Source organism: Homo sapiens, chromosome 8, assembly GCF_000001405.40.
Source record: "Homo sapiens chromosome 8, GRCh38.p14 Primary Assembly".
Taxonomy (NCBI): Eukaryota; Metazoa; Chordata; class Mammalia; order Primates; family Hominidae; genus Homo; species Homo sapiens.
Window position 1 is genome coordinate 93,148,136 of NC_000008.11, and position 27,763 is coordinate 93,175,898.

The 27,763-nt window shown below is 36.0% G+C and overlaps 2 long non-coding RNA genes across 4 annotated transcripts in view; one reads left to right on the top strand and one right to left on the bottom strand.

Moving 5' to 3' along the window:
• The window catches only part of LINC02906 (long intergenic non-protein coding RNA 2906), a 32,756-nt gene extending 14,041 nt beyond the window's left edge, over positions 1-18,715 (bottom strand). The window contains exon 1 of the long non-coding RNA NR_161372.1: positions 18,596-18,715. This is a non-coding gene — a long non-coding RNA (long intergenic non-protein coding RNA 2906). The remainder of the gene's footprint in view (positions 1-18,595) is intronic.
• Positions 8,846-26,198, top strand: LOC105375644 (uncharacterized). 3 transcript variants are annotated; one of them, XR_928417.1, is made up of 5 exons: positions 8,846-8,905; positions 10,172-10,259; positions 11,992-12,168; positions 18,755-18,876; positions 25,500-26,198. It is a non-coding gene; the product is annotated as an uncharacterized LOC105375644 (long non-coding RNA). The 3 variants fall into 3 exon arrangements; XR_928416.1 differs by lacking the exon at positions 25,500-26,198 and adding an exon at positions 19,207-19,296; XR_928419.1 differs by lacking the exon at positions 25,500-26,198 and adding an exon at positions 19,207-19,296 and having other exon boundaries at positions 12,029-12,168.
• The last annotated feature ends 1,565 nt before the right edge of the window (positions 26,199-27,763 follow it).

Genomic DNA, 27,763 nt, shown 5'->3' on the forward strand with positions numbered 1-27,763 from the left:
GGCTATGTCAGGACCTGGGGACACAAGATATTCATCAGCTGAAATGGCAGATTAAGGGCCTCTGAAACTCCACTTCCCTATAAAAACAATGAGAACACTGGCAAAAATGGGCAGAATCAACTTTTTCAGAAACCTGGAAAGTAATCAAAGACTTGCAAAAATCTGAGGAGTATTTATTCAAGGATCTAGGAAGACCTGCTGTCCCTTACTCAACTCAGGATTTCTCTGAGTTTCTCTCTGGAAGCACTAACACTATCAGGGTACAACAGGGGCTCTGCTCTGTGTTTCATAACAACCAAATCCACTGAGTCCCCAGCTACATCTCTGAATCTTTCCCTGAAAGGGGTTTTACTTGTGTCCAAATAAAAGAGCTCAGGAGAGTACAAAATTCTAGAACTATGATAATGTAATCCAGAATAAAGAATGGGCGGGGGTGAGATGGGGACTTGTTTGTACAGAATAAATAAATTTGAAGAAATATACTTTATAACAAAAAAATGTAATTTAATGTTTCCTATGAAGTTAATTCTATCCTAAGAGTTTTCTAATCTTTGAAGACACGCTCAAACCCAAGATTTTTATGACTATTAAAATTCCTGAGTTGCATTAGATATTAATATACTATTTTCCCCAAAATGTATAAGTTACTTTATATTTTTATAAAGTGTGTTCCCATGCAGGATTTTTTAATCCTCATGACATTTCTTTGAGGAAGGTGATATGATTTCCATTTTAAAGGTGAGCAAAATAACATTCAAGGAGATCATGGAATTTGCCTAAGGTCTCCAAGCCAGAGAATGCTAACCAGACCATTCTCAACATCTGCTCCTCAAGTTTTTTGTCTCCTTTTCTTCCTGCTCCCTTTCCTTCTTTTTAAATATTTTAAATATTTTTTCTTTTAAATATTTTAAATATTTAAATATTAAGGTTTAAGAGGCATGCATTCATAATCATCATTCGGGTCAAGAAATAAAACATTACCAGAGCCTCAGAGGCCCCTTGCTGTCAATCTCTCAATCATTACCCTCTCACTCTCCCCAAAGATAGCTACTATCAATGTATATTGCAATACCTCCTTTACCTCTTTACCACCTAAGCATTCATTCCTAAAGACTGTGTGTTTGTACTTGATATACATAGAATCACTATATATGTCTGTATATGTACCTTTACACACACACACACACACACACACACACACATATACAGGTTGAGTACATCTTAGCCTAAATGCTTGAGACCAGAAGTATTTCAGATTTTTTGCAAGTTTTGGAATATACCCACTTTTGTTAAGTGCCTGTAACAGCTGCTTCCCCATTTTTCTACTTGGTTGTATTTTTCTTATTAGTTTATAGTCTTAACTGACTTGGACCACTATAACAAAACACCATAGACTGGGTGGCTTAAATAACAGACATTTATTTCCAACAGTTCTAGAGTCAGGGAAGTAAAAGACCAAGGTTCCAGCTGGTTCAGTGAGGGCTCTCTTCCTCACAAGACAGAGAGAGAGAACCTCTGGGCTCTCTTCTTCTTATAAGGACACTGATCGAAGCATCTCACCCAACTACTCATGACCTCATCCAAACCTAATTATGAACCAAAGATCTCACCTCCAAATCTATCACACTGGGGACTAAAATTTCAACATACAAATTTGGGAAGGACACAAACATTCAGTGACTAAAAAGGAGGTGTTTTTAAAAAAAAATTCTGGTTTTCAGCTCTTTATTCATTATGTGTGACAAATAGCTTATCCTACACTCTTCTTCCTTTTTTTCTTAATGGTGATAAACACAAATTCTTAGTTGTATTAATTTTCAAATAAGTATGTTATATGTATTATTTAAGTAATAGTTCTTTGTCTTGGGACAATCAAGATATATTCCTAAATTAACTCATAGAAGGTTTGCGATTTAGTCTTTCATATTTAAATCTAAAATTCATCTAGAATTTTTATTTTGTTGTCTACCATGTGAGATGTGGGTTCCAAATAGATATCCAATTGTCTCAGGACATATTTAAAAGACTCTGCAATGCCGTCGTTTACGAAAGGCAGAGTGTCTTCATATATGTAGGTATGTTTCTGGACTCTCTATTCTGATATATTGGTTTATTTATTTTTCTGTACCAATATCTCACTGTTGTAATTATTGTAGCTTTATAACCAGTCTTGATATCTGATTATGTAGATCTTCTAACTCTGTTCTTCTGCAATATTGCTTTCGCTATTTTTGGCCCTTAGCATATCCATATGCAAATAGAGGATTAGTTTCTCAATTTTCACAAACTACATATACACACACAAGAAACTTAATGAGATTTTGTTTGTGATAGTATTAAATCTATAGGTCAATTTGGAAAAAATTGGTATCTATACAACATGAGTCTTCTAATGCATGAATATGGTATTTTCCTCCACTTACGTAGGTACTCATTTGCTTGATAATTTTTGCCAGTTTTGTACATTTGGATCTTACACATTTTTAAAAGTGTTTTGTGTTTAACTCTAGAAATTTAATAATTTGATACTATTGTAAAGTGTCACAGAAATTAAGAATTTAAAATTTTATTTTTCCAAATGTTTGGTACTGGTATGTAGAAGTACAATTCATTTTTTTATGTAGGTATATAACCGGCAAACTTACTAAGCTCATTAATTCTAATATTGAATGTAGATTTATTTCTATGTACACAACTATGTAATCTGTGATAATGAAGATTTTAATTATTTTTAATCAAGCTTGGTATTAGTTTTGTAAATGCTTTGGTCATTATCCCTTCAAATATTTCAACTGTTCCATTTTCTTTATCTTTCTCTTCTTGGAGTATGGTTACTTATATTAGACTTTCTCTCTATATTCTCTTATGTCTCATATCATTTCTTTTCTGATTTCCATCTTCTGTTTCTCCATTTTTCAGTTTGAATATTTTCTTCTGATTTATCTGGTAGTTCACCAATCCTCACTTCTGTGGCATCAAATATGTTGTCAAATCCATCAACTGAGTTCTTTATTTAGGTAATTTTAAATTTTCTAAAATTCTCTAGTTCTTTTTTAAAACTTACATATCCTTTTATTATAGTTTCTAGTTCTCAATTTTTCACTTTAACTTCTCTGAGTTTCAGATTTTCTATCTTTGCTTAAATTTTAGACTAGTTATTAAACCAAACTAGAACAGTTGGTTTGAATTAACCATAACCCCTCATTATTAGAATCAGAAGTCAGCCATCCTTAAACTTCTTATCTTTTCACATCTGCCATCTTTTAGACACATTCCTGCCATTCTGGACCTTAAATATGGCTAGGAAAATATGGTGCATGGCCATTAAGCATTAAGACCGGGCATGGTGGCTCATGCCTGTAATTCCAGCACTTCAGGAGGCCAAGGTGGGCAGATCACCTGAGGTCACGAGTTCGAGACCAGCCTGGCCACCAAGGTGAAACCTCGTCTCTACTAAAAATACAAAAAAATTAGCCGGGCATGGTGGTGGACGCCTGTAACCCCAGCTAGTCAGCAGGCTGAGGCAGGAGAATCGCTTGAACCCAGGAAGCAGAGGTTGCAGTGAGCCGAGACCGTGCCATTGTACTCCAGCCTGGGCCACAAGAGTGAAACTCCGTCTCAAAAAAAAAAAAAAAAAAGAGAGAAAAAAGAAAGCAGTTACAGGGCAATATAAGACAATCAGTCATTAAACGAAAGATACAGACGTTAAGTGCTTTGGAAGTCAAGAAAAGGTGATAGATGTATACAGCTGAGAGGACATATGGGGCTTAGGAAAGCACACAAGAGAGAAGGAGGCCAGAGGCCGTCTGAGTTGAGAAGCCTGGATGAGGGTAAATACAAAGCCCAGGCCAAAAAGTGCAGTGAGCATGGATGGTTGCTGGACTGGTGGAGAAGGGAAATATGATTTGGAGTTGAAGACACCATTTTAAGGAAAACCTTAAAAGTTAAATGGAGGTGTTTTGGGTTTTATTTTGAAAACAATGCCAGGCTGTGAGATGTTTTTAACTTGATTAAGCAAGTCTGGGTTACATGCTTGCCCCTAAAGCTGAATGGGGAGGTCAATCGCACTTTAACCAATTGTCCTGAGAGTGGAAAAGGGCCAGAATTGCCGGATTCACCAAATGAAGATACGAGTTGCCCAGTTAAACTTTAATTCAGATAAACAATTAATAATACGTTAGTATAAGTATGTCCTCTGCAATATTTGGGACATATTTACATTAACCTATTATCTATTAATTTTGTGAACTCAGATTTAACTAGGAGTCCTATATTTGATCTGCAATTCTAAAGTGGGTGCTTCTGTTAAGGAAAATTGGGATGCTATCATGCAAAGGGGAATAGATGCTCAGCAAACTAAAATGCAAAAATGCAAATATCTGCCAAGAATAGGCTAGGGAAGAAGCTAATAAATCTCTGTCCTTTTGAAACTCTACCATCTGAGTTATTGAAGACCCTCTTCAGTATAAACAAGTAACATGCTGACAACATGCCAATTTGCAATCCTAATTTTTAAAACATTTGGAGAGAATATGAATTATTCCAAAATTTGTCAAGACAATTTGTTCACTTACAAAGTTACTTTCTTCTTCCCCAATTATTAAACAACTTTATTTCCATAAACCTGAATGCTCCAGGAGGTTTTAATGAAAATAAGTGGAACAATCTTCAAAATGTCCATCTAAGGAAAGAAATAATTCACTGAAGTATTAAAGAATCAGAAGTGTGTCACCACTCAAAGATTCCTCAGGCAGAAGTTAGAAGAAAATCTGATTATTATGATCTCTTTTATCCAGATCTGATTCCTGATCTACAAAACAAAATTTCGTTTGGGCCATTCACATAGTTCAACTTGCAAAATTAAATTTCAAGTCCACATAATGATTGGAAAAATAGAAGTTTTACAAGTTGTGTGACTATAGCACACTTGAAAAATGTTCCATAACAAAGATATTTTGCAGAGGGACAAAATATGTCAAGTGAAATAAACTAAGTAATGAATATGTGCCCAATGTGGACATGTATATAAATTCATATAGGAAATGTTTATTCCTACTTATGCCCTGTAGGAATATAAACATGATTTTAAAGAGAGGTAATTTTACAAATTATAAATCATCTATTGCCGGCCCTAGCCAAAAAAAAAAATGCATTTTAACCAGACCCCACCCCAAGTCACCCCTGGCCCTGTTCCCAACGTACACCTACACCTGTCCAAGCTGCGGTGTGTCCCTCAGGCATCGATAGAAATAACTAAAAGGAATGAAGCAGATGCCCCTCACGATATCAAGGCATCTATTTTTACCCTTAAAGAGTAGCCATGCTATTTGTGGTTGCTAGTTTTCCATACATCATCCTCCCCCTTTGCCTTCTCTTTCTCTTTCTTGCTTCTCACACCTGTGTTTGTGAAACAACCTTAAGATCTTTTTACAAAAGCAAAGCATAGCAGCTGGGGGTTGTTTGTTTCACATACCTTCTGGCAACTGCTGCTCCACAAATGTCCAATTCGCACTTCCGTCCTGCCTGTCTACAGGGAATATTCTGCTGTTCCTTGCCTTATTTGTGGACATTTCTTTGCTGCGTGTGGGTGAATGTATGGAGGTGGAAGGGCAGATGGTGTGCTCTTTGCATTCTGGGTTTAGCTATATCATCTGTGATAGACAACTTTCAGTGGTTCAGTGAACCCCCACCAGCCTTTCTAGCAAGAGAATAGATAGGTGCAGATTAGAAACAGTCATTTGCTACAGGGAAACAACCAACATCTTATTTGCATCTGTACATGTCAACAATGCAATTAGGACAAACTTTTGAGAGAATTAGATTGAAGTGGTAATTAAAGAATTGTGTTGTGAATTTTAATGTGATTGTCAAGAGGTAAATTATTTGATATTGTATTCATCCACTTTAGAAAAAATGCCGTGGAACCTTTCAAAGAAAAGTCTCTGAAAATATCAGTAGTGCTAGGGATCCGATGAAGGCATAAATTGCTTATTTAAGATTCAAATAGCTCAGAGGCTCATTATATTAAACTCCACCACAATGGAGTCTTCTTACAGTGTTGGGGTACAGGATGCATGATGGAATTTTTTCTGGTGTGTTGAAATTGTAGTTTAGGCCCCCAAAGCTGAGGTCATTAGGAAAAAGTACTTCTACATTCTAAACAGCAGTACTAGGTAGCCCATGCTCATTTACTAAAAGTTAACAGAACTTGCATTAAATGATCAGTGTTCCTCTTCCCTATTACCCATCTCCATTTAAAGAGAGTCAGAAGAGCCATTGAATTTGAGCATTATGGACATAACAGCTGTGTCATTTCCCTCTTATTCTAGCCAAACTAGAAGGAGTTAAGAGAACTCCCTTGAGACTGGGAGGATCTACATGAGAGGAGACAGGAAACCCCTTGCCTGGCTGGACCCTGCAGTTGCCACCATGAGCCAGGAAATAGATTTGGTGAGTGATTTGTGCCCCCAAGTGCAGAGGCTGGTGCTTGTTTTTGACCTGGTGAGCTCAGAAGGCCTGAGATTGGCTGAAGCTACCTATGCATGAAAGCAAGGGCTGCCACAAGGAGAATCTTGCACTTGTGCCAGCTGGCTTGGTGGAGTGTGCCTGTCACGTGGGCTCAGGTGCTTGTGATTGGACCGTGTACAAAAGTGAAGCCAGTAGGGATTAACAGATATCAACAAGAGGTTAAAAAATTAGGGATGCCAAAACTCAGCCAGAGAACACATCACCCATATCAGGGCATAATGTGGTAAGGAGATTCCTATGTGTTTTAAGAGTATCTGAGATTTGTTTTAATCAGACATGGTAAGACAAAAAGACATGTAAATTGCTCTTATGAAGAAAAAAGTTGATTATACTCACAGCTCCCTAGGAACAGGAAGCATAACCACTGCATGGTGGGGAGGGTTGGTGGGGTGCACATGGAGAAGCACCAGGGTTGGTTAGGAAGCAGAGGGAGCTGGAGGAAATTCAAGCAAAAGCCTTTATTGTAATTTCTGTGGAAAGGAACACAACGCAGGGTAAGTAGGACTGGCTAATTTAAATAATTTCAGAGGCTCCGGAGTGTAGGGTCTGTCCCTAGTTGTCTGGTACCTGGCCTTGGTGTGAGTAGGGCAAATGGGTAGTGGCCTGGGTTGTGAGAGCCCCATGAAGGAAGTGATTGGGTGTGGGCTCTGGATTAAGCAGTTTGCGTGTTCCTAAACCAGGGAGTTGCTTATGATCTCTAGGAATTGGCTAACCATGTAAGGGAATGTCCCTCCAGGTTCAGGAAGTCCCCAGATGTCAATAAGAATACAGAAAATGAAAGACATGGGTAATACATTGTGGATGCCCTCCAAAGAACCCATGTCTGAGCTCAAAAAAAAAAAAAAAAAAAAAAACTGGTATTTTGATGCCTGCCACAATGGGAGTAACAATAGTGAACCAATGTTAACCAAGAGATAACTAAAGCAGCACCAGGGACTAAACCTGGGAGGGACACACTCTTCCTCAAGTCATTCTCCTGATGGAGGAAAGATAATCAGAATGGCAGATATATGGCCAACCACTGTAAGGGAAAGTGGGGACTCTGCTTGAGAAACTGCATTTGAACAGTAATTTTCAAAATTACTTAGGCTGTTTATATAAAATCCTATGTACACCTTTCCAACCCTTACTCTACATGTTTAGTTTACTTAAAGGCTTATTGAGAATTAGCTATAATTCCAATTTTCCCAGTTTTCTACTTTTTAATTCTCTTTATACAGCATTGGATGTATCTTGCAAAAACGTTTTTCTTTGGTAATGATATGAAAATGGTGCTTTTTTTCCTGAGCCTTTGCCTATCTAGATATCCTTCTATTGTCTTCACAAGCAAAAATTTCCCTGAGTTTTTAATTTAAATCAGAGCTGTTAATATGACTATGGACATGGCTACATTTTTTCTGGAATTTGATTTTGCAGAGACAAAGGACTGGAGACTATTTCTAATGCTTATTATGTTTTAGATGATCTGCTTTTCTAACTTGATTCATGTAGAGTTTTTTCTCTTTTTTTTAGTTAAAAAAAGTCCCATCTATATCTTAAAGTGAATCAATGTTTATTGATTTGGTCTGATACACGATGGCATATTTTGATCAGCTAGCTCATATTTTCTTTGTCAGGCAAATTTTCTTCTGTCATAATTTTGATTGTTCCTTCTGTTTCCTCTGGTTTTTAATTAGAAAATTCTGTACTCTTAACCCTCTGTCTTCCATGTCTGCTTTCCTATCTTGAAACTTTTTAGTCTTTATCAGTTAGGAAAGTGTTCAGATATTAATAACAGAATATATAGCAAAAGAGTGGATTAAACAAATAGGGCTGTTTATTTCACACAACAAGAAGTCCAGAGACTGGCAGGTTATGCCCAGTGCAGCTGATAGATGCAGGAGGCAGAGAAGCGAGGGTCCCTGGAGAGTCTTCAACCCTCCCCACAAGTGTTTACATCAGATGTTTTTGTGCAAATGAGGGAACCTTCCCAGGGCCTTCTCTGGGCATGTGCGCAATGGACTGGGGATTCACCTACACACTGGGAGAATAGGGTGGAGCCACTGAGAATTCACACCTTATGCAGTGGGGAGGAGTCTGGCCTCTTGGTATTCAATCTGTGAGGTAGGAGCCTGTTGGCAGGACCCCTTCTTTTTTGCTGAGAGCTTTCTTTTAATAAATTCCACTCTCCTCACCTTTCAATATGTCCGCGTGCCTAATTTTTCCTGGTTGTTAGACAAGAACCCAGATTTTAGCTGAACTAAAGAGCAAAAAATCCTGCATCACAATGACTACAAAATAACATCACAATGTTAGGCTCATTCTATCTCTTTGCTCTGCCAGCCTTAGCATGCTGGCTTGTTGCCTCTTGGTTTTAAAATGGTTGCTGTAACTACAGGTATCATAACTATGTTCCAAATAGGAAATGGGGTGGGGAGAGCAAAAAGGTGAAGGAGGCCTTCTCCCAGTGAGGTTCTGTCTTTTTATTTGGCAAGGAGGTAGTTCACAAACCAATTTTGTGCCTCACTGGCCAGAACTGGTCACATGCCACCCCCCAGCTGGTCAGTGGCTGGGAAAAGGGGTGAAGGATGGGGTTGGTCAGCCAGCCAAGATTGCCTGCTTGCAATGTCTTCCTGTTCCTCATCATCATCCTGGAAGAGGCTCTCAAGTTGATTCATTACATAAATGAACCAGTTTTCTAAAATCAATTCTGTTCATTTGCATTACCAATACGAATTTTAATTCTGTGATTTTTCTTTTTGGTTTCCATGGTTTTTAATTTTTATTTTATTATTATAATTACTTTGTTATTTCAAGTATCTGCCTTTTAAAGTTTCATTCTGCATGTCAGCCTAAATTTTACCACCTAATTCTGATCTCTTCTTATGGTTTTTTATTGTTATTTTTCTATAGAGACTGTGAGTTTGTCTGTCTTGTTGAAAACAAGAAGTCTATTTTTTATTTCCTGTAACGAACCATTTATAATCATGTAATTTCCTCTGAGACTTTGATATAATAATACTTCATTTTACTCAAGCCAAAATCTTTTTTCCCCAAAGGTCCCATGTTATTGATTTGTATTTATTTTTAATTCCTCCTTGACTTAGGATGACTCTACACATATAAACCCACGTATACTTTGTATTTGCCTTTGCCTGTGTTCCTAACATCCACTTTTAGATTCTCAGTCCCATTCTCATATCTTACGTTGTGAATGAATTGACGATTTATTTTTCCATCCCCCAATCCAATTTCCACTGTTGATTAGCATTTCCCTGTTGGTCTGAGGTAGGAACATCTATACCTTTGCTTCTCAGTTTTCAGGTGTGAGAAGAGTTTATGTTCAGTACAAGCAAGTAGAGCAATGCCTGAAGCATGGTTAGGTCTCAATATATATTATATCACCATCATCATTATTATCATTATTATTAGAGGAAAGATAAATTTTAACCCAATAATCACATACATTAATATATAATCTCACAGCGAGATAAAAGAGATGACCGCCATTTCATGAGAGCACAGAACAGAGGAACTTGATTTAGCCAGGGCCAAGACAGGGGAAAGAGGCTATGGCTGTGTCACAGAAGACTCCACTGAGGAAGTGATACTTGAGCTGAGATGAGAAAGATAACGTGTCAATTGTGAATATTTTGTTTGCCAGTGGGTTTCTAATAGACTTAAATGAAAGGGCACCGCTTGATTCAAGGAATTGAGAAGCAAGATGTGTCTTCAAGCATGGCTAGATCCAGGTAAGTTGTCTCTCCATCTCCTGACTCTGCTATCCTCTGTGTTGGCTTAATTCTCTGAAAATACTCTTCACAATTCTCAGAAAGGCCAAAATCAGCTCCAGTCTCACTTCCTACCAGGTTTGCTACCCTAAGAAGAAGAAGGCTTCTCATTCCCAACGATTCCAACCTAAGTCCTAGAAATAAGTCCTACTTACCTAGATGGGTAACATGACCCTCTCTAAGTGAATTGCTGACACCAGAGGAATGGAATGCCTTGAATCACCAGGTCTAGGCCCTGTGTCTTTACCTGGAATGAGAACTGATTGAGGAGGAGAAAAGGCAGAGAAGGTATTACCAAAAAGGTGACTGGATTCTGGACAGGCAAAACAATAGCCTATACTGTATACAGAATAGCAAATAACAGGGTCCAGTCTTCATTTTCTTCCTGACTCTCTGTATCTCTCGCTGCCTTCAGTACCTTAAGCATATTGTCTACTGAGGAATGTGATCTTTGAGTAGCTATATAAAAAGAAGCACCATATCTGGTCACTGAAAGCCCTGGAGCAAATGCAGTGTTTATAATTTTTAGATACCCTGTATCTCTAAAACAGTCAAACAGTAGGGTGAAGCCCTTCCTTTCATTGTACCTGCTCAGCTACCTGGTTCTATTTCAGAAATTAAAGTATCCAAAAGACACCGATTAGGTTCAGAAAGTCAGCTCAAACAGACTTGAAAAGTGAAAGAGAAACTAATTAATTCTGTAACTAAAAAAATTCCTCCCAGACTCCAATAAATCGCTGACTATAAGCTTCAGTTTCTAATACTATGAGATTTCATTCTTTTTCTGCAACCATGAATTTTTAAATTGAGAGTTACGGGAGGCATTTTTCAGGAACTGGATATAATAGCCTGAAACCATTTTATCCCTGATGGTCGCACAAGATTTAATAGCTAATTAGTCAACTCTTGGTGACCAAGTGAGTGTAAGGGGTCACTGAAGTGATGTTTCTTCTAAACTAGCACGATGCTAGCAGGACTGCTGCTTCACCTGGACTGGGTGGAGGGAGAGTTAATCATTGGATCAACAGCTAGGGTAAATCAAGACTTTTAATGCCTTCCTCACTCTAAAATTCTGTATCTCCATTATTCTATATTTAAGAGTATTTATAAAACACTACCAAGTAATTCAGCTGTGGATAAATTATTTGATTTTCATTGTGACATTCTTTCTCCAGTTTGCCACTTCACTGGTAAGAAGAAAGAATAATTCACAAGACAAAATAGTATTTGACACGGCAAATTATTATGCAAACTGTTAGAAAAAAAACTCAAGACAAATTAAAATTAACAGAGTTTAACTGAGCAAAAAACTATTAACAAATCAGGCAGCCCACAGAACCAAAATAGGTTCAGAGCAGCTCTGGGACTACCACATGGTCCAATGACAGTTATAGACAGAAGAAGGAAAGTGAAGTACAGAAAACAAAAGTGAGGTATACAGCTTAGTGCTTGCCTTATGTGAACACAGTTGGAACAGTTGGCTGCCTGTGATTGGCTGAGACTCTACTACTTGTTACAAGATCAGGTAATAGTCTGTTTACACATCCAGTTAGGTCACAGTTCACTATGTGTGGAGAAACATTTAGGCCAAATTTAAAATATGTAAGGAGACAGCTTTAAGCTAAACTTAACAAGACAACGAAAAATAGACTCTAAAATTTCTGTGAGTCACTGCAATTGCCAATTCTTCCAGAAGGAATTCCACCCAAGCTGATTCATTTAAAACACAGATAACTCGTCAGAAGATAGGTGTTACAAAGACTTTCAAGCCCAAGGAACTGCTGAAGAGACTGCATCGAAGATCCAGCATCCATAGTGTACTTCATGGAATCCAGACTGCGCCAACTGACAGCAATAGAGAGGCCTCAGGGTAGGTATTAATGGTGAATGAGCATGTAGATATTAGATCCAAATGTCAGATCTCCATGAGGAGCAATGTGGAAGTACCTTGCAAAAGGCAAATCTCTCTAGACAATCTGATTATTGTAAATACCTGCTGCATCTAGTGAGTGGAGGAACCTGTCCTCTTTTCATTTGCTCTTGTTGGAAGCAGCAGTAATAGCCTATGGTATCTTTTCTGTCCATCATGAGTTATAAAAGTACATTTGTAATACAAACAAAGGAGGCACACTAACACTTACCTACCAGGAATAGGTATGAATACCTGCTGTCTGCCAGGTCCTGGCCAAAAGAGTATACATGATTATGCATTAAACAGTCACCAAAAATATTTTTGACAAATACCATGACACCTACTTCATAAAATTAAAAAAAACCTAAAAGCTCAGAGTATATTGTTAATTTGCCCTAAATAACATAGTAAACAGGTAGCAAGTATGAAAGGAAGGGGTGTTGTTCATCTGAGAAGAACAGTGGAAAAATAAAAGTGTTATTAAAAAAACAGAACCAAGGAAACCGAGATCAAACATAGCTTAAAGTATGACTATGACACAGATTTAATGAGAAACTCACAGTGAACTAGAAGATTTTAAAAATAATTTTTAATCAATTTATTTATTTGTACTTTTGATATTGACTCTACATCATTTAACCCTGAACATGGATGAGGAAATCAACAGGAATGTCACAAGGCCCAGGGGTCATTGTTGCTGAGTGTGGATATCACAGCTCCCGTACATGGCTACAGAGACATGGCATGTTCTCGTATGTAACCCTTTCAGACTGCTTTTTGTTTATCAATAGCAATATTCAATATTCATGCTTCTAAAACATCACTCTGCCCAAGAAGCAAATATCTGATCCACAACTTAATGCAATAATTACTGAATCAGATATCTCTGGGAAGCAATTATTTTTAAATAGCCATAGCTATTTTGATTACGTGGACATTTAAGTTCTTTCTTTGCCACATTTGTCTTCAAAAGAGAGATGGTAGGATCAAAAGAAAAATGTAATATTGGTGTCATGAAAGTGTAAGAGATATTTAACACTTCAGGAAATAGAGTGAGACTAGAATTATTTTAGCATCTTAGTCTTACGTGGAAGATGTATAAAGATGCCACCATCGTTGTGCTAATAATTGAACAGAGGCCCCTTTTTCCCCATTTATCTTTTTCTTTGTCATGAGAAAGTGGTTTTACAAATTGCAAATATTATCAACATTGCTGGGACTTGTACTAGTCAGAAAACCTCACAGTGTCCCAGTTTTGGTGTTTTGCTTTTTTCTTTTTTTTTTTCCTACCTGTAATATGAGTCTAATAGTGCTTTGTGATCTACAATCCCAGAGAATAACTTTTTGCATTATTCTAAACAGTAAGCTATGATGAAAAAATAGTTGAAAAGCTAACAAATTAGGTTTCCCATCTAATTTTTATTACAAAACTCTGTAACAGGTTTTTAATTCCTGAAACCCACTCTGGGAATCCCCACAGGATCCCCCACATGATTATGCCCACCTTTCTCTACACGGTCATGTGCCCCATAACAACATTTTGGTCAAGGATGGACCACATATATGGCAGTAGTTTCATAAGATTATAATGGAGCTGAAAAATTCCTCTTGCCTAGTGACATCATAGCTGTCATCACATAGCAGCACAATACATTATTACAAAAACCTATGATAAAAAAAGAAACAGAGCAAGCAAATCACCATGGACATATTTTTGAAAAGAGTGACACCTCCTCAAGAAGAGCCTCAGGCAGGTCCTTCAGGAGTTTTTCCAGAAGAAGGCATTGTTATCATAGGAGATGACAGCTCCATGCATGTTATTGCCCCTGAAGACCTTCCAGTGGGACAAGATGTGGAGGTGGAGGACAGTGATATTGGTGATCCTGATTCTAATGTGTGGGTGTCTCTGTTAACTTTTAACAAAAAAACGTTTAAAAATTTAAGAAAAAATTAAAAATAGAAAAAAGTTTACAGAATAAGGATATGAAGAATGGAAGTATTTGTCTGCAGCTGTACAATGTGTGTTTTAAGCTGTGGTATTACAAAAGAGTCAAAAAGTTTTTTAAAACTTAAGTTTATAAAGTTAAAAAGTTAAGCTAAGGTTAATTTATTATTGAAGAGATAATTTTTTTAAATGTTTGTGTTTTTTTTTTGAGATGGAGTCCTCGCTCTGTCTCCAGGCTGGAGTGCAGTGGTGCGCTCTCGGCTCACTGCAACCTCCGCGGGTTCAAGAGATTCTTTTGCCTCAGCCTCCCGAGTAGCTGGGACTACAGGCGTGCCACCATGCCCAGCTAATTTTTGTATTTTTAGTAGAGATGGGGTTTCACCATGTTGGCTAGGATAGTCTCAATCTCTTGACCTCGTGATCTGCCCACCTCGGCCTCCCAAAGTGCTGGGATTACAGGCATGAGCCACTGCACCCAGTCTTTAAAAATAAATTTAGTGTCGCCTAAGTGTACAGTGTTTACCAAGCCTACAGTGATGTATAGTTATGTCCTAGGCCTTCACAGTCACTCACCAACAGCAACTCTCAGTCCTGCAAACTCCATTCGTAGTAAGTGCTCTGTACAGGTATATCATATTTTTATCTTAATTTCTTAATTTTACTGTACCTTTTCTATGTTTAGGTATGCTTAGATACACATTTGCTTACCATTGTGTTACAATTGCCTACAGTATTCAGCACAGTAACATGCTAAACCAGTTTGTAACCTAGGAGCCATAGGCCATACCATATAGCCTAGGAGTGTAGTAGCCTATACCATGTAGGTTTGTGAAGTACACTCCATGAAGTCCGCACAACTACAAAATCACCTAATGATGCATTTCTCAGAATGTGTCCCCATAATTAAGCAATATATGACTGTATGTCTTATTTCCTCTTCTTCCTTCTTTTCAATTACACTTTATTTCTCATCACTTCCTTTGCCCCTCAATATATCTTTCATATTTCTATCTCTCTACTTTCATACTATTTTCCCTCCCTTTTATTCTTCCACCATTCACCCTTCACTGCTACTCTAGAGAACAAACCATTACATGTAATTTACACGTAATTTATCAATATTTAAAATACTGGCTTTATTTATGAATAAGCATCTGGTTCTTATTTTTCTTTAATATTAAATGAGTTGTAAATCTTGTATTCTCTACAAAACAAAATGAAAAAAACCCAATACCAACTACAATTTTCTCTCCATTTGAAATTTCCCACTTTTACTTTTGATTCTTTGTGCTTAGATATTAAGAGTATTTCAATTTACACCATAATTTGTACTGTAAGTCACCATGTAATGAAACTCTTGGTAACATAAATTAACAGAGTGTTTATTTAATATATGTATTGAGATTTTACAATACTTTATGCATTAAGGTTAATTTTCCAAATATGTTAAATTTTAAACATGTTTTAATGAAAAAATTCTATTATATGCATTTTGTATGCTATTAAATAATTATCAGTCTGGTTTTTGCTTTTGAAGTAATATATATTGCTATAATATATATTTTATATCTAGAAACTGATATATATCTACACACACATATATGTGTGTATGATATACATATGTATTTCTAGATATCTATAAATCTAGAAAGTCATATATATGTATAGATTTAAAACATCATGTGGTATTTCACATTAAGTAAAAACTAATCTCTAATATTTTACAATAGTAATTTTGGTATATATAGAGTTCACATACTCATGACTAATATAATTTTTTATTACAAACAAGTCATTAAAATTATATATCTTATACATTTTGACATTTATCGTAATCCTATTTTATGCAAAACACAGTTTGTGAAGTACTGTTGAAAGAATTATTACTTTTTACTTCCAGTATTTCATGCTAACTCATGAATTAAATCAAATCGTTAGTTAATTCAGGTATATAAAATTTGATAAGAGTGAGTCCGACTTTGGGCAGTAAATTCCCACATGTGACGTACCCTTTGGTACTGGTTCCTGACTGCCTACCTGCCTGGGGGAGCTGTTTACTCCGCCAACTTTGTCACTTTCTTCCTTATTCTGCTCCCTTCCGCATGTCTTCCATCATGTCCCTTTTCTGTTACCAACAACCGTGTTACCTTAGATAGGTCCATAACCTGCTCCAGCTTCATTCATCCCCCACCTAACTGTCTATAGTAACTGTAGGAGTTAACACAGATGGGAAGCGAAGGACATGCCAGTTACTGAGTGAGGTGCTGCATAAATCTATGAGGCAGGCACTTTTAGTATCATTTTATAAATAATAACACTAATCCTTAGGATGAATCATATGGACTAAAGTCATATTGATTCAGCCCCAGAAACAAGATTTCTAAATTAGTTTCTTAACTGAATCCTTCACTGTAATCAACTAAGTACATTGCTTCTTACCAAAAAAAGTTTGTCATAATAATAATGAGTAGAAAAATGGTTGTGAAAGGTTTTTGAATGCTATAAAAGATTCTATCAATGTAGAGTAGAAGAAAATGCTGATTTATAGTTTTCAAGCCTTTTTATATCAGCTTATTTAACTTACTGTCAGGAAAATATGCTGATTGTTCTAATAATTGGTTAATTGAGAGCATTCTGTATAAACCACACATGGGCTATCAATTTCAAAGAGTTACCAAAAAAAGTTTACTCCATCTCAGGGCTACTTTAATATGGTTTTCTCTGTCTTCGGTGGGCAGAGAAGACCTTACAAGAATATCACGAGCTTGGAATCTGCCTAACTATATTATTGTACAATAAGCACACATTAATTAAGCAGTACCAATAATCAACATGAAAAAATAAAAACAAGCTTTTACTATTAAAGCATTACTATTGATTTTTATAAACACCAAAATAATATCCCTCCTAGGCCCATTACACAGGTAATAATAACCATTCATTTAATTAATACTGACACAGTAAAAAATTTAGAGTACTTATAACACCCACATTAATATCAAGAAGGTTCATTAGAGCTAATACTACAATAAATATAAAATGAATTAGTAATGATTACACCATTGTTTTAAAGCATTCTTATTTGTACTTTTGTATTTACTTTAATCACCATCACTCTAAATGGCAGTGAACAAAAGCCAGGCTGGGCATATTTATGTAGAAATAATGAGGCATATAAATGCAACTCAGTGAAAGCCATGCACATCTTATCTGCATTTGTTCATCAACACACCCATTTGTGTGGAAGGTTACTAAAAAAGACATACTCTTTATAACATTTGTGAGGAAAATTAAAATCATCTTGCAATTGGTCCTCCTCTTTGGTTTGAAATTGTTCCTTCTGAATACCTCCATTCTGATTCAAGATGCTAGCAGAGTGCCTGGCACACAGTAGGAAGATCATAAATATTTGTTAAATAATGTCCATGCCTCCATGTTACATTCTCGTCTGGAAGGACTACTGGCTACACTTGAGTATGTTTAATTTTAACTTTGATTTCAAAGAATCTGTTGATGATTGTCTACATTTACAATCAATGTTGGACAGATTTTATTTACTAGGGGGCAAAAGGGAAAAGGAGAGAAATCTCTCTATTTCTGCCAGCTAACCAAAGTGGGGCAAAGAATGTAATAGATAACTCCTTCTTTCAGAATGGGTCAGTAGAGAGGAAAATCAAAAGAAAAAGCTATAAAGGTGTATTTTACATTCTCTTTTCCCATTCCTTCTTTCATTTTTTTTTTTTTTTTTTTTTTGGAGATGGAGTCTTGCCCTGTCGCCCAGGCTGGAGTGCGGTGGTGCAATCTCGTCTCACTGCAAGCTCCGTCTCCCAGGTTCACACCATTCTCCTGCCTCAGCGTCCCGAGTAGCTGGGACTACAGGCGCCCGCCACCACGCCCAGCTAATTTTTTGTACTTTTAGTAGAGACAGGGTTTCACCGTGTTAGCCAGGATGGTCTCGATCTCCTGACCTCGTGATCCGCCCGCCTCAGCCTCCCAAAGTGCTAGGATTACAGGCGTGACCTACTGCACCCCGCCCTCTCTTCCCATTCTTTATGGCTGAATCATTATCTTTTAGGATGTCAGGAAGCTGATTGTTTCAATTACTCTGATAAAAGAAGGCAAAGAGGAAAAGAAACAACAAAACTCTCCTCTCTTCCTTTTATACCCTTGCTAATGACAAACATTTCCACATGGGCTCTTACAGAATCTTAAGTCCTGATTACATCTGAACTAGAGCTGAATGGATAACATAGTTAAGTTGCTATTATTTTAAAAAGTTACTTGTATTTGCTCTTAAGTACTGGGTAGTCAGAAACCTGCCATTTTATGAATATTGACAATGTGATAAAGGGACAATTCCTCCAAAATAAGTCACAGAGTCCTGAGCATCTTGGAGGGGAAAATGTGGGTGTTTTTGGTGGGTAGAAAATGGATACTTACTTGTCTTTGGAGATCGGGTTCTCTTTGGAGTTCGCATGCTGCTGGATGAATGCTGTCAAAGTCCTGGCCCATGCTTGCTTGCCCTCTAAATCCTCTGCCCTAGCTTCTTGTTGCTTTGATTTTATGTTCTCTCTACTCACATGACTATTTGTCCAGCAGAGAAGCTAAGGATTTGCTAACTGTGAAGAAAAAGATTATGTGTTTCACAACACTGCAAGCCTCGAAACCACAGAAGCAGTGAGCAAGCTAACATTTATTCTAAAGATAAACATGAAATCCAGGTAAAGAAACAAAGCACAATTTATTATCCTATTGATCACTAAGAGACTAATGTCTTTTCCTTTCCTAAAGACATTTATCCAATAAGCTTTGTATACACCACAGCAACAATCTGTAACCCATTACAGAAGTGTCACTAACATAGCGTTAATTACCACAGTATGTGACTTGGAAATGGTATCTTGAGTAAAGTGGGATATTTGGTCCACAGCCCAACATCAGGGTCTTTTTTGTCTCCAGCTTGAGGCCATTCTCCACCTCTGGGTCAGGAAATAGGATATTCTAAGGAGTTAAGAAGTAGGTTCCTGATGTTTCTTCCTTTCCTTTCTCAGTTTATACCTCCAGGTCAACACTCTCATCTGATCTCAGAAGAATTCATCATTTTTTGAGGACCTACTTTGTGCTAGGAACTTTATGTAAATGTGTTCTTTTAGTCTTTATCACTCTGTAATATGTTAGTGTACTCATTTATCGGTGTAATTCTATGTATATAACTCAATAAACTGATAATACAAAAAGAACTTTTAAATTGGTATGCCCACCTCACCAAAGCTCTTTTTATTTAGTCATGAAATTTCATAACTAAAGGAAGTTCACAAATTGAAGACTAAAGATTAAATAACACAGGTAATAAATGACACACAGCATTACCATTAATTGCACAGAGCCACCTTTGCAGCCACTCCTGTGGGAGGTTATTTGTAATTACATTGTATGCTAGACCTGTATGTGAAGTGAACAGACTTTTTCTCACCATCCTGGTCAAAAATATTTTATTTAATACCAGATCTAAATACAGACTATTTTGCTAGATACTAGAGAAGTTTTAAGGCTTTTGTCTAATATGTGAGAACACAAGTCTTTCTCATTTTAGATCAAGCTATTACCTCTCTTCAATTTGCATGTTAGCTTTTAAGAGCACTCTTGGAAATCATAAACGTACCCAGGCACTCTGCCACCATCTACTTTGGTCTGTAGCATGATGGAAAGGAGGGTGAGAATAGGGAAAGTGGATAGATGAGAATCAAAATAGATGATGCTCTATTCTAAATAAATTAGGGAGAAAGAGAATGTAAGAAGAAATTTTAAAAAGTGAAAGGTTAATACTGATAATAATAATAATATCTAATCTGTCAGAGTTTACTATGCAGACACAGTGCTAAATGAGTTATACACATTATTCATTTAAATCCTCAGGATAATCCCTTCATTTAGGTGCTATGATGATCCCCAAATTGCTAATGAGACAGCTGAGGTTTAAAAAAGTTAGTATCTAATCCAAACTAGCTAGTAGATGACATCTGGATTCCAACCCAGAATGCTTGCACCAGTGCTTGCACCTCTAATCATTATGTGTCAGGAAGCAGAAGGAGATAAACAGAACCAGCAATTACTTCATGGAAAGAGCAAATATAAGCCTGTGTTCCTAATGCCACTGGCATACTACAGAATTAGGAGCCAGTATTCAGGAGGGGGCTGATCCAGGCAACTGTCCCATTTGTTGTTTTTGCAGTCATGTTGATTGTCTCTCCCTCTCTCTCTCAGGTTAAATATTCATATTAGTGGAGAAAGAATGGGCTAGACAATAAACAGTTTTGGAGCAAAAGAAAAATTTAGCCAACTTCTTATCGAAGTATAGCATGCATACAGAAAAGCAACGATTAGATGTTTAGTTCAATGAGTTTTCACAAAGTGAACATACCCCTGCGTAACAATTCCCGTGTAATACCAGAGACACCAAGAAACAAAACTTAGCTAGTCCTCCAGCAGTCACTCTCATCCCAATCACGAATGCCCCTAAGGTGTAACCACTAATCTGATTTTAAAACTGTGAATTAGTTTTGCTATTTTTAGATTTTATATAAATAGAATTGCATGTTGTAAATATTTTATGTTGGCCGGGTGTGATGGCTCACGCCTGTAATCCCAGCACTTTGGGAGGCCAACGTGGGAGGATCATATGAGGTTGGGAGTTCGAGACCAGCCTGGCCAACATGGAGAAACCCCGTCTCTACTAAAAATACAAAATTAGCCGGGCGTGGTGGAGCATGCCTGTAATCCCAGCTACTCCAGAGGCTGAGGCAGGAGAATCACTTGAACCTGGGAGGCGGGGGTTGCAGTGAGCTGAGATTGTGCCATGCACTTCAGCCTGGGCAACAAAAGTGAAACTCCATCTCAAAAAAAAAAAAAAGTATGTTTCATTCCTTTTATTTAACATTTTGTCTGAAAGCATGAATATATGCTGTAGCAACTAGCAATAGTTTATTCTCTTTGATGTGTAGGGCATGTTGCATAGATAAATCGTAATTGATTTATCCAATACACTGTTGATGAATATTGGGATTCTTTACAATGTTCAGTGTAGACTAGAGAGAAATCCTAGAGTTTAGAAATCCAAGGTAGGCGGTTTGATAGGAAATGAAGCCAGAATTCTAAAAAACATAAGCTAATTGCACAGAAGAAACAGTAGAAATTTGCCTGTGTAGGCCTTGACACTGGGTGATGAAAAATATAAATATAGTCCCTGAGTATTTGTAAACACAAGTTGGATGTATCTTTACAATCAAAATTCACAATACCTGAGTAGTCCTTTTCTAGGGCAACACAACTTCAATCCAGAATGAAAGTGTTTCCACAGATGATAAGTTCTAAGGAACATGAGCTTATAGTTAAGAGTGATGAAACCACCCAAGGAAATGAAGTCCCATGAGAGAGTGTCTTCAGACAGCTACTCTTTCCTGTCCTTAATATTTAAAAATATGAAAGAGAAATCACAAATAGGAACATATGAGAACACTATTTTTCAAAAGACCATACAAATTTGAAAAAGTATCCAAATAGAATGTTATAAATTGAACACACGAAAGCAAGGATTTAAAATTCAATGAACAGTTTGAAAAGAAGAGTGGACAGAAGAGATTATTTGTAAAGTGGAATATTAACCCAGGCATTACCCGGGCTATAACCTAGCAAAAGAAAGAAATGGGAAATATTAAAGCAAGATTAAAAGACATAGAGAATAAAAGGAGAAGTTTTAACATATCTAGTTGGTGTTTTAGGAGAGGATATTTGTGGAAATTGCTAAAAGGAAATATTCAAAATACAAATTTTTATGAACTGTTGAGAGAGAACAATTTTACAATTCAGAAGCCCAGCATATTCTGACAGGAAAAATAAAGCAAACAAGCCCTAGACCCATTATAGTGACAAAGCAAAGACAAAGTTGGAGAAAAATAATTTTCTATAAAGGATGGCAATTAGACTGACAGCTGACATCCTGACCTCAATAATAGAAGACAGAACACAGTGGGATAATATTTTCAATGTACTGAGAGATAGTAGTATATTTGAGTTTTTATACACTGAAAATCTTTTAGAACATAGGTTAAATAAAAATATTTTCTGAAAAATAACTGAGTTTACCACTAACAGACTCTCATTAAAGCAAATTTTAAATAATGTATTTTGGGCTCAGGGAATTTATCCCAAATATAAAATATAATATACAAAAAGGTATGGGAAGAAAGGATGTGTATAAATTAAAATTTGAGTAAATCTAAATAAATACTGATTGCACACAGCATTTATAATCATGTAATGGATGCTCAAAATTAAGGAATTGTAAAATTATTGCACTGTTTAGGTAAAGATAAAAGCTTCAATTTATTTAAATATATTTATGTTAAAATATGTAGACTTGTAATCAAAGAAGTAGTATAGAAAAATTCACTTTTAAACTAGAAAAAATAAACTTTATATATATTATATTTAGATTTAGATTATGTATTTATATTATGGTCAGATACATACCTGAAAAATAATGCTGATCAATTGATATCAATGATCTTCATATATAAAATTATAAAAATTATATTGAAAGACATTTAAAAATTTTAAATCAATACTATATTTATGGATAGAATTTTAAATTTGATTTATAGATTTAAAGCAATTGCAGTAAAAACTATAAGAATTTTGGCTAAAATTTGTTAAAAACAATTATAAAATAGTGCAGGTAAGAAAGTCAGGAATGGACAAGTCACTATTGTAGAAAAATCAGACAAAGAATCTATCCTATCAGTTGTTAAGACTTTTTATGAGGCTATAGTAATTAAGACAGTGTGGCATTTATTCAGATTGATAAATATAGCAAATAAATGAAATACTGAGCTCAGTAACAGACCCACTTAAATATGAAAATCTTAAGTGTGGAATTTGAATTGCAAATCAATGAAGAAAGGAGTACTCAAAAAAGTGGTAAATAAAAATATAAATTAAATCTGTAACTAATATATAACTAAAACTCAGCATTAGATATATTAAGGATATGAATATTTCAGAAAGAAACAAGTGTTTTCTGATATTGGGGTAGGAGAGCAGATCATTGTAAATTAGAAAAGAGAATATCAAAACTTTAGACTGCATGAAAAAATAACTTCTGCTAACCATAAAAAGAATGAAAGGGTATGCCACAAATGACTGGAAGATATTTCTGGCAATTTTAACCTATAAAGGATTAATAGCTAGAGAATACAAAGAACTACTATAAATTAATAGTATATATTTTTAAAAGGCAAACAAGCTCAACCAAATAAACAAGAAAAATTATGAACAAGCATTTTATAAGAGAAGAAAAAAAATGGTCCGTTTATATTTTAAAAGATTCCAACCTTGTTAGGTATCACGACAATGTAAATTATAACCACAAAGAGATTCAATTTCCCACAAATCAGATTGGCAGGATTAAGGCAGGCAGTACCACATGTTGCCAACAATGCAGATTAATGGTACATCTGAAACACAGCTGGAGGAAATGCATATTGGTAAAAGCCACATTAAAGCATTTGACATTTTCAGTAAATATTATCATGCACATCTCCTAAAGCCCAGCAATTCACTCAGGCAGAATTAACTTCCAGAGAAATTCTTACAAATGCACATTGAAACATGTTCAAGAATGTTCATAACAGCATTATGTATTCATTGCTAAAAGTTGAGAACCAGCTCAGTTGTCCACTAAGCATGTATAAATAAATTGAAATATTCTTACAATACAGCATTATATAGTGATGAGCATATAGTATATAGTATGATCCATAAATAAATAAATAAAATGAATGTATCTCAAAAAATAGTGTTACAGAAGAATGACTATATATATAAGATCTTGTTTTTATAAGACTAAATAATAGACAAATTTAAGTAGTATTTTATTTTTGATACATAAATACATGAAGATTTCATAAAGCAAAGCAAGGGAGAAAGAGGTCAAAGAATGAACAACGAGGTAGCAAGGCAGAAAAAAAATTAGGGAGTCGGACTTCAAAATCTCTGGGAGCATTCCATTTTATAAGCTATGTGGCAAGGACCTAGATGTTAGCTTTGTTTTTCTTTAAATTGTGTATATGAATTGTACACACTTTTTTCTACTTTAGGATTTAAGAAAATGATTTTGTGCCAGTACAGCAACAGAAGAGAAATGAAAATAAGAATTATGAGTGAATCAACTCTATGTACATGTAAGAAACATCATGAAATTACCAATGATTAACCTAATCATTGGCAAATGATTAGGTTAGTCATTGGCAAAGAAGAATTTCAACAGACTTCTTTATCCACAGATAATTATCCACAGATAATTAATTTATGAGAGATTTTAACTTCCTTTTTTATTGTTTTTAGATGACTTTATTGTACTTTAAAAATAATGCATGCTTATTATTTAAAATTCAAACAATACTATGATCTACAAATTGTTAACTAAAAAAGTAGTTATGCAAAATGTTATCATCCCAAAATAACAACTGTTAACATGGGATGATCATATGTACCCAGGGAATAATAAGAAATTAGAAGGACATAAAATTACTTATACTGCTTTTAAGTTAAAAAGCATTTAAAGTTAATTTTAAGTAAGTTTGATCAAAAAATGAAGCTAAAGTGAAAAAGGAATGCTGAAATGCCTCTTCAATATTATCATCTCATTCTATAGTTTTATCACTTGATCTTTAAACTCCCCCTGTATTTTCATAGGATGAAGCATATTATGTTTCTTTTACTTTTCTTCATAACAAATATTCTAACATTTCAGAGGGTTATGCCATTAATTATGTTCTTTTCATGTTCAACATGAGAAAACATAATGACTTTAAAAGTAATTGATATAGTTTGGCTTTGTGTCCCCACCAAAATCTCATGCTGAATTGTAATTCTCAATGTTGAAAGAGGGCCTTGGTGGGATGTGATTGGATTATGGGAGTGGACATCCACCTTGCTGTTCTCGTGCTAGTGAGTTCTCACGAGATCTGGTGTTTAAAAGTGTGAAGCACTTTCCCCTTCTGTCTCTCAGGCAGGCCATGTGAAGACGTAGTTGCTTCCCCTCTGCCTTCTGCCATGATTGTAAGTTTCCTGAGGCCTCCACAGCCATGCTACCTGTACAGCCTGTGGAACTGTGAATCAATTAAACCTCTTTTCTTCATACATTACTCAGTCACAGGTAGTTCTTTATAGCAGTGTGAGAACAGACTAATACAGTAATGGAATCTCTGTAGGTCTTTGATAGGGTGTTTTAAAAGTCCATAAAATACAAATTAAGTTTTCTCAATAAAATTTTTTCTGTTTCCAGACATTTTTGACAGCCTCTATTCGCCATGACAAAGTGTGATAGAATCGCCATGATTTCTACCTATCGACCTTACCTAGCTAATGATCTTCTCCCCTGAAGATACAACTTGCTGACTGGGCATTGATGTCACAGAAGATGAGATTATGTTTGCCTGCCTCTGTGTGTGTGTTTGTGTGTGTGTGTGTGTTTGTGTATGTGTGTGTGTGTGTGCATGTGCTATAAGGTAGAAAAGGAGGATGATAGAAAACTTATAGGGACTCTCTCTCTCTCTCTCTCCATCCCTCCCTCCCTTTCTCTCTCTCTTTCTTGTCTGATGGCCTATATCAAAGTCAACTCCACATTTTTGGGTATAAGCTACTAAGGAGGCATAAGTTAGATATTGTCATCACTAACCTATTTAAAGCAAATTTTGTGTCAATTGAGGGCTTTTTTAAATTTTATTTTTTAATTTTTTGCTGAAAACAACATTGGTTAACTATTTTATACTTAATTATGTTTAAACTTATCCATTATCCTTCAGGCAGAAAGGAAAGCTTTTTTAAAAGGAAAAAGATCCTTGAAACCTTAAGAAATGGAACCAGAATTTTAGACATGCATGTGAAATCACTAATGTAAAGAATCCTTCCCTGGAGAGGGAGACTAATTCTTTGTTACAGCCCTCAATAGGTTTTATTTTGGAAATGCCTAGGATGGTCCATAAGTCCCATGCCAAATCTCCTATTCCTTCAGCATATTGAGATGATGCTTAAAATTCTGAAGTGCTCATAACTGAAGTTAGAATTCTTACCATGTACATAACTAATAATTTTCTGAAAGTAAGTTTTGTTCAGGGTGGGGATACATCTCGAGCATTTGGCATTTGAATTGGAGGAATCCTCTGAGGGTACAAGACGATCTGAGGACTCATGTGACAATTGACAGTTGTTTTACAAATTGGCTTAAGCTTGGCCTTGCTTCCCTGAAAAATGCTTTTTCCAACATCAACTATGCCTGTGTAGGACATATCCAATCAATGAATTTCAGCTGTCATCATGATCGACATGGATCACTGAACAATTGACTAGACTGTGATGATCAGTAATGATTGTGAATGTGTCTGAAATTAAAATATTGGATATACTATGGCCTATTCATTTCATGAATGTGGAATAGTCATTGAACCATGAATTTGAATTTCCATGCTGGTCACCTCATCCTATGCAGACCAGAACATTCACTTTCCTCTATTTTTCTTCTAAAAGAAGAAGAAATGTAAATGGCTATGTAGCGTATGTAGGTAAGCATTGAAGATACCTTTAATTTGATATTTTTAAAAGACAAAACAAAACATGCTCTAAAACAACTCACAAACATGGTGACTATTCTTGTCTAAGTGTACTTTATATATACCTTAAGTCTCCTATATAAACTCTGTGAGAGTAAGCACAGTATTAATTGGCTTACTCAACAGCTGTTAAGAAGGTACTACAATGTGTCAGGCAATTTCCAGGTGCAAAGATAAAATAGTGCTATGTCTTCTGCTGCTCCCATAGTCTAGTCAGAGAGAGACAAACTTGATGAAATAATAACATCAATAAATGTAAACTTTAGAAGAGTGTAAGTGAGTGTCAGTGAGGCATCAGGTGCAGGGAGTGCAGAATGGGAGAACTGGTTAAATTAGGCAGCAAGGGTGAAGTTTGCTGGAGAAACGATCATGAGTTGAGGCATGATATTAGAGTAAGATTTACTTAAGAAAAGTAATTAACTATGCCAAGAGAAGGATGGGGCTGAGGTGGATGCAAGAACAATCCAGACAGAGGAAAAAGTGCTTCTGTAGTTAAAATGGCAGAGCACATTTGAGAATTAAGAGAAGGCCAGTGTGGCAAAGGGTAGAAAGCAAGATCGAGTGACGTGAGGCAGGAGGCTGGAAAGAGAGTCAGGGACACTCAAATGCAGAGGCTTGGAGTAACATGACATTTGCCCCAGTGTGTCTGACACCCCACTTGGTGTCTGCTGTCTCAGTATAATTAACAATAGCACACCCTTTCATTCTCAAATGCAGTTTGAGTTTTCAGTTTACTAAGAAAATTATATGATCACTCTACTTAAAGGTCATATTAAAGATTTTGGTCTTTACCCTAACAATGGGAAATCTTTAAAATGCTTAAGCAAGAGAGTGATATGATCACACATAACATTTGAAAAGATCATCCAGGCTATACAGTGTACAAAAGGTTAATTGGGGCAATGGCAGATGCAGGGACACCAGTTAGGAGGCTGATGCC